General features: G+C 35.1%; 1 protein-coding gene across 5 annotated transcripts in view; it reads right to left on the bottom strand.

Annotated features, from left to right (window-relative positions):
* Window positions 1-13,494, bottom strand: part of ZBTB41 (zinc finger and BTB domain containing 41) — a 47,612-nt gene that overhangs the window by 31,441 nt on the left and 2,677 nt on the right. For all 5 annotated transcript variants that reach the window (NR_135153.2, NM_194314.3, XM_047419671.1 and 2 more), the window contains exons 3-5: window positions 6,570-6,777; window positions 5,640-5,709; window positions 3,170-3,317 (exon numbers count right to left, since the gene is read on the bottom strand). Coding sequence is in view for 4 of the 5 variants with exons in the window: in NM_194314.3 (NP_919290.2) it covers window positions 3,170-3,317; window positions 5,640-5,709; window positions 6,570-6,777 (426 nt within the window). In the remaining variant the exon portion in view is untranslated. The remainder of the gene's footprint in view (window positions 1-3,169; window positions 3,318-5,639; window positions 5,710-6,569; window positions 6,778-13,494) is intronic.

Genomic DNA, 13,494 nt, shown 5'->3' on the forward strand with positions numbered 1-13,494 from the left:
ATTTATTCTTAATTAATTTTAACTTAATTTGTTTTGACCTATTGTACAGCATACAGATTTTTTAAATATGTTTATTTTCTGGTATACTAAATACCCTTGATAGCTTTATGACATCTATAAATTTCATAAGCAATGAAGTGTATATTTTTATCTAAGTTGTTAACAAAAGTAATGAACTGAACATGGAGAGGACCTCTACCTGGAATGACAAAATTCATTAGTGGGATTAACAATCAGAAATTTACCAAAGTATACCACCATCTAGACCACAACTCTCCACCTTGGCCATAAGCATTAGGGAGGTAATTCATTAAATACTATAGCGCATTCCAAATATACTAAGTTTATTCTACTCCTTGAAAAATTATCTTTTTCCAAAACAAGAATGTCTCATTCTAAGCACTCACAAACCTATGCAACATCAACTATGAATAAATGCACAGTTTATGCCCACTGGCACATTTGTCACCAAAAAAAAAAACAAACCAAAAAAACCCCCCAACACACACAAAAAAACACATTTACACATCTCCAAGAACTGTGACATATACAGTACTCCTTTCAATTTATATGACTTTCTTTGCCTAAGCCAATACTCAAGGTTCACCAAGAGTAGTTCAACAATCCCCCAAAATGAAATATTTAGGTATAAATCTAACAACATAGGTACAAGATCTATATGAGAAAACTACAAAACTCGGATGAAAGAAATCAAAGAAAAACGAAATAAATGAAGAGATATCCCATGTTCATGGAAAGAAAGACTCAACTTCACAACATGATCTATACATTCAATGCAATCCCAATCAAAATCCCAGAAAGTCATTTTGTGGATATCAACAAACTGATTCTAAAGTTAATATGGAAAGGCAAAAGATCCAGAAGAGCCAACACAACACTGAAGGAGAAAAATAAGGTTGGAGGGCTGACATTACTTGGCTTTAAATCTTACTATAAAGTTACAGTAATCAAGACAGTGTAGTATTGGCAAAAATAAAAAATAAAAAAAAAAGATCAACAGAACAGAATACAGAGCCCAGAAACAGACCTACATAAATATGGTCAACTAATCTTTCACAAAGAAGCAGAGCCAATACAATATAGTAAAGATAGTCTTTTTAAGAAATGGTCCTAGTACAAATGGATATCCACAGACAAAAAAAAAAAAAATACATCTAGACACAGACCTTACATCCTTTGCAAAAGTGAACTCAAAATGAATCACAAAAATGTAGATGACCTTAGGTTTGGCAATGACTTCGCACAATCCATGAAAGAAACAATGGATAAATTGGACTTAATTAAAATTTTCCTCTGTCACAGAAACTGTCAAGATGATGAAAAGTCACAGATGAAAGGAAATACTTGAAAAGAAATATCTGATAAGTGTTATCCAAAATATACAAAGAACTCTCAAAACTCAACAATAAGTAAGCAACTTGATTAAAAAATGGGCCAGCCAGGCGTGGTGGCTCACGCCTGTAATCCCAGCACTTTGGGAGGCCGAGGTGGGTGGGTCACCTGAGGTCAGGAGTTCAAGACCAGCCTGAGTAACCTGGTGAAACCCCATCTCTATTAAAAATACAAAAAACTTAGCTGGACATGGTGGCAGGCGCCTGTAATCCCAGCTACTCTGGAGGCTGAGGCAGGAGAATCACTTGAACCTGGGAGGTGGAGGTTGCAGTAAGCCAAGATTGCGCCATTACACTCCAGCCTGGGCAACAGAGCAAGACTCTGTCACAAAAAAACAAACAAAAAAACAAAAAAACCAAAAAAAATTGGGCCAAAGACTGAACAGACACCACACCAAAGATATACAGATGGTAAATAAACATGAAAAGATGCTCCACATTATATGCATCAGGAAAATGCAAATCAATGCAATGAGATACCACTACAAACCTATTACAATGGCCAAAATTTGGAACACAGAAAACACCAAATGCTGGCAAGAACATGAAGTGACAGACATTCTCATGGGAATGTAAAATGATACAACTACTTTGGAAGACAATTTGACAGTTTCTTACAAACTAATTATACTCTTACCATCTGATCCAGCCCCTGTTTTCCAAGGTATTTAACCAAAGGAATTGAAAATCTAAGTCTACATAAAAGCCTACACAAAGATGTTTATAGCAATTTTATTTATAATTGCCAAAACTTGGAAGCAACCAAGATATCCTTCAGTGAGCGAATGGATAAACTGTGGTATATCCAGACAATGGAATAAAGTCCTCCCTAGGTATCCATGAGGGACTGGTTCCAGGATGGCCCAGGATACCAAAATCCATGGATGCTCCAGTCCGTTATCTAAAGTGGTGTAGTATTTACATGGAAACTATGCACATCATCCCATATACTTTAAATCATCTCTTGATTACTTAATACTAATACAATGGAAATGTGATGTAAATCACTGTTATACTATATTTTAAAATGTGTATTATTTTTTATTGTTGTATTGTTATGTTTTGTTATTTTTTTTTAATATCTCCAATCCACAGTTGGCTGAATCCACAGACATGGCACTTATAGATATGGAGGGCCAATTGTATCATTTAGCACTATACTAAGTGGAAGAAGGCAACCTGAAAAGGCAACACAGTGTATGATTCCAACCATATGACATTCTGGAAAAGGTAAAACTATGGAGACAGTAAAAAGATCATCAAATAGTAGATGAGGTATCTAAAAAAAATGAACCAACAAACAAAATACAAAGGTCAGTGGTTGCCAGGGGTTGGTGTGGGAGACAGATGGAGAAGCACAGGGAAATTTCGGGGCAGTGAAACTATTCTGTATGATACTATAATGATACCCGTCATTACAGGTTTGTCTAAAACAACACAAAATACAATACTAAGAGTGAACCCTAGTCTAAACTAGAGTCTTTGGGCGATTATGATGTACCAACGTAGGTTCTTCGATTGTAACAAACGTACCACTCTGGTGAAGAACTGCTGATAATGGGGGAGGCTGTGCATATGTGGAGGCATAGGGCATATGGGAAATATCTATTCCTTCCTCTCAATTTTGCTGTGAACCTAAAACCACTCTTAAAAAGTCTTTTAGAAGAAAAAGAGTAATTCAGCTATAGAAGGCTCCTCCAGCATGATGTGATAATTAAAATTGTCATGACTGCCTTAAGAAAAAGTAACTTGCTTACCCAGATGGAACTTTTCTTGATGCTTTAACCGAGCAAACCGTGATTTAAAATGTTCTTCACAATAGGTACACTTAAAAGGTTTATCTTGAGAATGTAGAATCATATGTTCCTCCAAGTGTGGTCTTCGAGTAAAAGATTTCTTACAAATCTAAATTAAAATGCAAACAAAATGTTAAGAGAACCTGAATTAAAAATTGTAATATTAAGCTTGTAATGAGAAGAAAACCATATAAATTCAATAAAGAGACTTTTCTCCCAACAGAAAACTTACAAAAAGTAAAATTCAATTCTAATTGTGCAGAAAAAAATGCTCTAGAGGAAGTAAGGAATGATTTTAAATTAGTACTAAAGGTAGCTGAATTTCAACTCTTTACATTTCTAGTAGGGATACAGAATAATCATACTATCTTAATTCTAGTCAGAATTTCTAAATCCATGAAATATATTGTTTTTTAGTCACTTATGTCAGGAATAAAAGGTTTTTTCAGTGTTGCCATATATTTGAATAAGAATCTGAATAAGAAGTCACAGAAAAATTATTTTAAAGTGTATCTCTTGAAGTGGTCAGTCTAAAAATTTGACATTCATCAGGTTTTTAAAAAGAGGTAGGCTGCTATAGTAACAGCACCAACAATAATGACATAGCACATATTATATATACCAGGCACAACGCTAAGTAATTCATGGATTATTTTTCTTGATTCTCACAATAATTCTGTGAGATAGATGCAACTGGCATTATTAACATTTTATAGCCAAGGATGATGAAACTTGGTAAGGGGAAGACACTATCTTATGCAGACTAAAATACTGTAATAAATAATTAACTTCAATTTCTAGAAGCTGAAATCAGAGAAATTGTGAGAAATTTGCTGTATATATAAATTGAATCTTGGATTAAAGAAGGCAAAAATAACAGCTAGGGATGCCTTAAAAAAGATTAACCTAGGCTGGGCACAGCAGCTCACCCCTGTAATCCCGGGAAGCACTTTGGGAGGCCGAGACGGGTAGATCACCTGGGGTCAGAACTTCAAGATCGGCCTGGCCAACATAGTGAAACCCCATCACTACTAAAAATACAAAAATTAGTTGGGCGTGGTAGTGTGCACCTGTAGTCCCAGCTACTCGGGAGGCTGAGGCACAAGAATCACTTGAACCCAGGAGGAGGAGGTTGCAGCGAGCCAAGATCACACCACTGCACTCCAGCCTGGGTGACAAAGCGAGACTCCGTCTCAAAAAAAAAAAAAAATTAATGTAAATACTGAAAAAATAATTAGAGGTACTGTAGAATAAAGATGTCCATAAATACGATGGTACTCCTCCTGTTAAAAAATGGAATCTAATTCCCTTCTCTTTAAATCTACCCAGGTTGGAGTGATTTGTTTGGCCAACAAAATGTAGTAGAAGTGATTTTCAGAGACTTCTGAGACTATGCCATAAAGTCTAATAGTTTTTATCTAGGTTTCTTGGAACACATACTCACTCTTGGAACTTAGTTGCTATGCTAGAAAGAAGCTCAAGAAGCCTCAAAAAAAGACCGAAGTAGAGAAGAACTAAGGTTCCTGGTAAACAGTCCTTGCTGAGATTCTCGCCAAGAACAAACACCAAGTGACCTGTCACGTGGGTGGGCCACTTTGTTTTTTTTGAGATGGAGTCTGGCTCTGTCGCCCAGGCTGGAGTGCAGTGGTGTCATCTTGGCTCACTGCAACCTCTGCCTCCCGAGTTCAAGTGATTCTCTTGCCTCAGTCTCCAGAGCAACTGGGATTACAGGCATGTGCCACCATGCCCAGCTAATTTTTTTTTATTTTTAGTAGAGATGGGGTTTTGCCATGTTGGCCAGATTGGTCTCGAACTCCTGACCTCAGGTGATCCACTCGCCTAGGCCTCCCAAAGTGCTAAGATTACAGGCATGAACCACCATACTCGGCCTTGAGTGAGCCACTCTGGAAGTGTTCCCAGACCAGACCAGACCATGCACTAGTTGAAAACAGCTGAGTGACTTCAGCTGACAACAAGCAGAACAGAAGAATTAACCTAGCAAATCCCTGCCCCAAATTTGGATTCCTAACACACAAAAGGGTGAGACATATCAAAATAGTTATTTAAGGCCACTAAGTTTTGATATAGTTTATTATGTTAACACCACATACCCAGAAATGGGGGAGAAAGTCTAACATTTTATACTCTGTGCAACAGTAATGTCACAGTTTATATACATAACCATAAATACATGGTATGGTGATTACAATGAAAATAAAAACTAGGATTTCCACTGTTTAGGTCCATCATCTAAAAACTAACCTATACCAGGCTTAATTTACAAAATATATTAGAATAATTTTATATAAAAGGAAAATTCTAAAAGTGAGATAAGCTAAGTCACATTACTTTAAAACCTAATTACTTTACTTCCCCAAAAGACGTTGCATTTACTTTGGTTTTCTAATTTGTTTTAATTAAAAACTCTTACATCACATTTCCAACTTTCACTCTTAGTCTTCTTAATGGAAATAAATTCTTGTGCATTTTCAGGATGAAATCTATCAGAGGAAAAGAAAAAGATTATTAGGAAAAGGTTATATTAGTTAAATCAATATTCCATGTGAATATGTTGACAGTAATTACCAGGATCAAGTACTGATTCCTTTCATAATGAGACAAGTAGGCATAGATGAGCTCTTTAAGAAGGTATCATTATCATTTTAAACACATTCAGGAACCTAGCTCTTTATAGATAAACTGAAAGGTAATATACCTGATTTTTTTTAGTCCAGATTTCAGTAAATTTAATTTTTAGAGTTAAATATATAATACTCTATTAAATATTATTTATCTCACAAACTGTTACACATTAAAGACAATGTTGAGTATAAGAATAAATTTCTTGACCGGGCGTGGTGGCTCACACCTGTAATCCCAGCACTTTGGGAGGTCAAGGCGGGCAGATCACTTGAGCCTAGGAGTTTGAGACCAGCCTGGGCAATATAGTGAAACCCAGTCTCTACAAAAAATACAAAAATTAGCTGGGCATGGTGCACGCCTGTAGTTCCAGCTACTCAGGAGGCTGAAATGGGAGGATTGATTGAACCCAGGAGTTAGAGGTTGCAGTGAGCTGAGATTGTACCACTGCCCTCCAGCCTGGGCGACACAGTGAAGCCCTACTTCAAAAAAAAAAAAAAAAAAAAAAGAGAAAGAAACTTATCAGAGTATAAAAACCACATATTTCTGAAGACAGACTTGCCAAAACCCAAGAAAGAAAACAGGATAATCAAAATACTGTATCTCAATGAATCTCCAATGAAAGAATTGGAGATAAGCACTTTATAGATGTTTTTAGCTTTCCACATATTTAAATTAAAAGGCACAATAAAGTATATTATGGAAGCAAGATAATACTTGCCTCTTAACATGCTTGGCTAAAGTCTTCTTGCTTGCATGAAGTTTATTACAATAAGGGCACTTGTGCTCCTTCTTATGAAATTCTGTTTCATTACTGTGCTTCTTTCTGTGAACAGTTAGGTTAGACTTTGTTGAATAGCGCTGGTGACAAATATCACACTCAAAGGGCTTCTCACCTGTGTGAACACGGGTGTGGCTCTCATATTTTCCTATAAAAAAAGAAAAATTAAAATTAAATTTAGTACATTTGCTATACTGTGATTGGAATTTGAGAGTGGAATAAAACCTCATGATTTAGCAAACTTATATACACATCCAAATCCACACACAAAACTAGAAAAAAGTTTACGTAAATTTCTACCTCTGATAAACCTAATGACTTACTATTTTGTGCTTCCTGTTCAAAGTGTACTTTTCCTCAAAAACTTGAGTCATTAAAAAAAAATATTCATGATCACACATTTTAAAAATTAAGAGGTTTGATACATTTTCTGAAAACTGTTGGAAAATTCTCTGAAACTTAAATTTTTAAATGTATTTTTAAACTTAAAATTAACTTTTAGCAAAAGATCAATTCATCATTTAAGATTTATTATGTTCATATTTTTGGTATCTCTGTGGGTCCATACACCTGGATATGGATACTGGCTCTCTAAATAGAGGGTTACGTGACCTTGGACAAGTAACCTCTATATGCCTCAAATCTTCCTCATCTGAAAAACTGCGGTAATAACAGAATTTACCTAATAGAACTGTTGTAATAATAAACAAATTCATACACATAATGCACTTACAACAGTGTCGAACACATAAGTTATCAATTACTGTTGTCTATTATTATTACTGGGTAATCTGTGTACTGTGAATATGCACATCTAGTAATTTGAATTAGAAATTTTGAAATATATTTCCAAGCAAAAGGCAATAAAAATAGGAAAATAAATCAACATGAAAGGTAACTCTTAATTAAAAACTTAGCTTTGCTCTCTCCTGAAAAATAAATGTATAAATAAATTTTTCTTCAGGTGAAAACTAATGTGAAAGTATAGCATTTCAGTCATATACTTTAAAAAGGATACATCCTATGTATAACATGAAAATTATGAAAAATCCAAAATATTCCAAGGCCACTGAGGAAAGATATAATCATAATTATGTGTCTACCCAATAAAATAAAATAAATTCAATAATTTAGTAAATATATATACAACTGATTTTATTAAGCAAGTAATATCATATTTTCTAAAAATAATAAAAAAACTGAGGAAAGGAAACCAATGTATTTCCTTAAGGTAAGGGAAGAATGTTAATCACAAGCAAAGAAAACAGAAGTACAATGAAAAATTAGGTATTTAGGTGTAGAACATAGTAATGGTATATGCATATCTGATATGCATATAGTCAGAAAACTCAGTCAATATTTAGGCATCTCCTAAATTAGTTGCGCGATTTTAATCAAGCTAATAATTTAACCTCTCTTTACTTGCGTTAGTAACACTTCATGGGGTTGTGACAAGTAAATACGTTAACAAATACACACAACAACACTTAAAACATCCTGGCACAGCCAGGCACGGTGGCTCATGCCTGTAATCTCAGCACTTTGGGAGGCCAAGGTGGGTGAACACTTGAGGTCATGAGTTTGAGACCAGCCTGGCCAGCATGGCAAAACCCCAACTCTACAAAAAAACAAACAAAAAAAAAACCAAAAAAACAAAAAAACCCAGCACATAGTAAGCACTAATAAATATTAACTGTCATCATTATTATCATACGGGTTACTAGTCATAATATGGACATGTAGGTATACCTCAAATATAAACATGGATACATCTGATTTATGAATATCTGTTATAACAAATCAAACTAGGGTTTCAGCTCTCTGATAACATTGGATACACTTGGCTCTTTCCCCTTGCCACTGCTAAAATTGCTTAGTATCTCAGTTCCCTCTCTGCTACTGCTAGAGTATACTCAACCATTTACACATACATGTACACATCCTACCACCACCACCTCCCCCGCTGTGTTCAAGGAATCAGACCAAATACTGGGAAAAGACAGAGGTCACTATATGGGTTTTTAAGTATTCCCTTATTGTGAAAGTTTTCACATTTCATTTTTAACTCACCTTTTAAATTATGTAAATAATCATACTGATATTTAAAAAACTGTAAAATCAAAAGTATACAGTCTGATTTTTTAATAACTAAACTTGTGATTTTTGGAACAGGTCCATTTTTAACTGGGGATTGACTGTGCATGTTTAGCACAGATTCTCAAGATTGAGAGACAACTTATCAACCTCCTAATGCTTAAATCTTCTCATCTTTCTTTCTTTTTTTTTTGAGACGGAGTTTTGCTCTTGTCCAGGCTGGAGTGCACTGGCGCGATCTCGGCTCACTGCAACCTCTGCCTCCCGGGTTCAAGCGATTCTCCTGACTCAGCCTCCTGAGTAGCAGGGATTGCAGGCACATGCTATACGCCCAGCTAATTTTTTGTATTTTTAGTAGACACGGGTTTCATCATATTGGTCAGGCTGGTCTCGAACTCCTGACCTCAGGTGATCCGTCCACCTCGGCCTCCCAAAGTGCTGGGATTACAGGCAGGAGCCACTGCGCCTGGACCTCATTTTTATTTCTAACAAAAGTAGCAGCATAATAAAAATCTTAAAGTATGAAAAATTTTTCAACAAATCATTTACTTGCTATGAAAATGTCTTTGCTGAAAAGATGTTAAATTAATAATTAGCAGCATTCTCCCTCTATTTAAAATTGAGAATTTCTTCTATGCATGCAAATAAAAATTAAGTTACTTATAGCTAAATACTGAAGTCATTGAAATGGCAGTTATATTAAAAATTAAAATCACTTTGACTAGTAAGCTTCCATTTCCCTACAGACCAGGAGAGATAAAGATTTAAGCAAGAAAAAAAAAAAAAAAGAAGAAGAAGAAGGAAGTTTGGGAATTTAAACTGAAATAGCCAAATTTAGAAAAATCTCATGATTTTTTTAAAAACCATTTTAAATAAATTCAGCCAAATCAAGCAGACCAATGATAATACAGAAATTTGAGTAAGTAAAATAATTTTTTAGTTATTAATTCAAATTTTATGCACTTAGGCTTTGCATGGCCTGTTATCACCATGGATTTGAATTTCTGAACAAGAACAGGAGAGACAACTTTTGACGGAATGCTGGACCCAGAAGAGCTAGGTAGATCTCTACAGACTAGTGGGAAAATATATGTTAATCTTCGATTTTCATGTTTAAATCATTTGGTAGGGTTTTTTCTTTGTTTTTGTTTTGTTTCGTTTTGTTTTTTGCCAGGGGGAGGGCACTCCTCAGCACAAACAGTAAACATCTACAACTGTTTCTCTACTTTCATGGAGTGGGGCATTCAATAATAATGTATAAATCAAAATGTTCACTTAAAACTTATCAAAGTTTCAATTTCAAAAACAGTATTCCTTCACAGAATATTAAACTACACCCAAGCATTCCTGATCCTGAACAGAAAATACATAACATTTTATAACATAAGAAATTTTATCCACAGCATTTTTCTGAACTGAATCCCAATATGAATCATGTCTCAAATCAGAAGTCATAAATTAAAGATATTTTCACATGAACAAATTTGACCTTATACAGAGTTTACTCCCACATGGGTCATATAAAATTACCAATGTTAGATTTTGTATGCAGTTTTTACAAAGAGAAATATCACCAGATGAGTTCATTATATATCTGATATTGCTACATCTTAAAATGTACCTTGAAATATTCATATGAGTTAGTCTAAAGAATATGTAATTAAAATACTTAGCCTTAGAGAGTTGTGCCATTGTTATAACCCTTTTCTATTAAGAACTAAGTGGAATATCTGCACGATGGACTAGTCACATTTTTTTTTAAAGGTATAAAACATGTTCTACCTCTAGAAGAGATTGTGAATTTAATCTAATGAAAGATTTTAGTTCTCTGTGGAAACAATAAAAAAGATGAATTATCCAAATTTTCTCTCTCACCCCATCTGTCATCTCCCTATTTTTGCCTGTTTATCCACTAGGTTTTTGGTATAAGGGGAAAGGTCAAAGGACTCTTATTTGCATGATAATTTGCTGAGAGGAAGACAGCCGGTAGCCTAAGGAAAAATATAACTGGAAGAAAGGATAAAAGATGCAAAGTAATGGAATCAAATTAGTAGATTACTTATTGTGGAACTAATGGTTCCAGCAGAAGGTCTCAAAGCTTATGCATCTCTCATAAACCCACCCCAAAGAAGCCAAGTTAGAAGCTTAAAGAAGGCTAATTGGCTTCTTACAAGCCCAAAGTCAAGCCAGATACCAACTTTTCAACTTAGCTCAAATAAACAAGTGCTTACTAAAAATTTATTTGAAATGACCTGAGATGTTACAAAGAATACTAGCCAAGAGTAAGATACGTAACCTCCAGGCTCACAATCTAAGACAGATAAATACCCCAAAATCTGGGTGGCATTTTAAAATTCTACGAAAGGAATGTGGATGATATGAGAATAATGGGAAGGTGGCGCTCGAACTCCTGTGTTGTTATTTTTTTAAATAAACTGTACTTCTAATAATAAAGATGGTAAGAGAGGACACTTAAGACACATGGATCTTCTGCTACATATTCTTTTCATTCTACTCATCACCAGTCTACTTAGTCTACATTCAATGTATCATAACTCTCTGCTTTACTCTCATTCTACATCCCACTCCCAACGCCACTCATCTTCCAAGTCTAAGCTACATTATCATTCTGGTCCTTTGTTATATGCTCCTTCTTGTCTCCCTGGCTCTTTTTTCATCCCTTTTTCCAATTTCCTTCTCCACACTGAAGCCACCATGATCTTTCTAAAATTCTTACAGGCCATGGTTTCCTTTGTAAAATTCTTTTCAACAGTCCCTATCACCTACTGAATAAAGTCTAGTCTAGTTAAATTAGATTGTCCAAAGTATACACCTCTGTAGAACATACAAGACATACAAAATCTGACCACCACTTTCTTGCCCACCTTCATCTCCTGTTATTTTCACTATGCCTCCCTGACCACCTTGAAACCACTCACACTTGAGCAATTTCCAGAATACAACATACCTCAATGCCTTTGCACATGCTGGTCCTTCTGTCTTGTAAACTGTTCCCTATTCTTTGAGTCTCAGCTCAAATACTATCTGCTCTGAGACACTTCTCCTGATTTCCTTAGTCTTCTATACTTATCCTGATAAAATTATCTTTATTGTAACATGATTGTGTTTTTTCATGTACCCATTAAACTCTAAGGTTCTTGATGACAGAGAATATATCATTTCATATTTGTTTAATAATGTTTGGCAGCTTAGAGACAATAAATATGCTAGAACACCTACATTTTGTGCAATATTTTAAGTGATTCCCTAGAATTACCCCATTTAATCCTCATAATAACCTTTCCCTACCCCATGAGAAGGTACTATTAGCATCACATTAGCATCATCTCACTTTACTTATGAGGAAACAAAAACACAGACAGGTTAAGTAACTCACCCAAGAACAGGATTCCAAAAAAACCAAGCAGTCTTATATTACTATAACTCAGGCTTTTTAACTAGCGATATATGAATAAGATATAGATAGATATAGATATAGATACACTAAGGTAATAGAGATGAGAAACTACTGGTGAAAAGCAAGCAGCAGGGCTAAACAAAAAAGAGGAATGGGTAGAAGAGTGACATAATGTAAAATACATTCAGAAAGGTCAGTCAGAAATAAACCTACAATGTGACCTACTGATTCCCACAATTATCTGGGCTGAACTTGGAAAAAAAGGAAGGGGAAGGGGACAGGAGGGAGAGAGGGAGGGAAGGAGGGAGGGAGGGAGGGAGCGAGGGAGGGAGGAAGGAAGGAAGGAAGGAGCAAAATGTCCTCCTCTTAGTAAATCAGCACCTCAATCTTGAGCAGTATTTTCCCAAATTGTGCAGAAAACTCTAGTTTCCTAGGATGCTCAAAGAAGTACCTCCAAAGTATCTTGCGGTAAAATGATTTAAGGAAATACTGGGTTAAGCAAAATCAACAGGTTTCTTTACTAAAGAATTGGGCAGTTAAAACCGATTGTGAATTACGTAGTTCCCAATCTTACTTGAACACAGAAGCCTTCTCTTACATAGCATGTCACGGGACTAATGTTCAGTGGGACAGTTTGAGATATTTGTGTTGCACCTACAATACCATTTGTGAACTCATCCCTATTCACTCATCTCCAAGTCAAATTAAGACAATTAAGGCAGAATACAGGAAGCATGCACTAAGAGTACAAAGTCTAAGAAGTCTATTGGAAAGATGCAATGTTCTCAGGTACTTCAACCCAAAAGCTGTTCTCACCTCTATACATATCTTCACAGTATTTGTTTACAGTTCTACAACAGCATTTTATCCAGTCTAACTTTAACAACTTACTTGTATACATATGCTCTTGGAATTGTTACTGAAGAAGTTATTTTATTCATGTTTACACACAGCCTCAGTTAAAATATTAATAATTATTAAATTAGATTGTCCAAAGTATTCTGATTCAGAGAGAAAATTATTCCAAAAAACATTATAAAAAGCAAAAAGCAGATACCACTGTTATGTCAGCGTATAATGCAACATCTTTTTACAGCAAATGATCACCAATTCCTTAAAAAACCAATTTCCGCCTATATCAATAACATAAGTAAGTTAACACTGTAAGACATATGGGGATATATTAAACTGGGTAAGTAATTTCTACCAGGTCAGATTGCAGTAATTTTTTTTTATCATTATATGTGGTAGAATATATTTCACAATTTCATAACTTCAATTTACCTGGAAGCTTAATTGTTGCAACTGAAAAGTTTACATTAGAACAGTTCATCTCAGACACTTCCAAGAATT

The sequence above is a fragment of the Homo sapiens genome, chromosome 1, assembly GCF_000001405.40.
Source record: "Homo sapiens chromosome 1, GRCh38.p14 Primary Assembly".
NCBI classification, from domain to species: domain Eukaryota; kingdom Metazoa; phylum Chordata; class Mammalia; order Primates; family Hominidae; genus Homo; species Homo sapiens.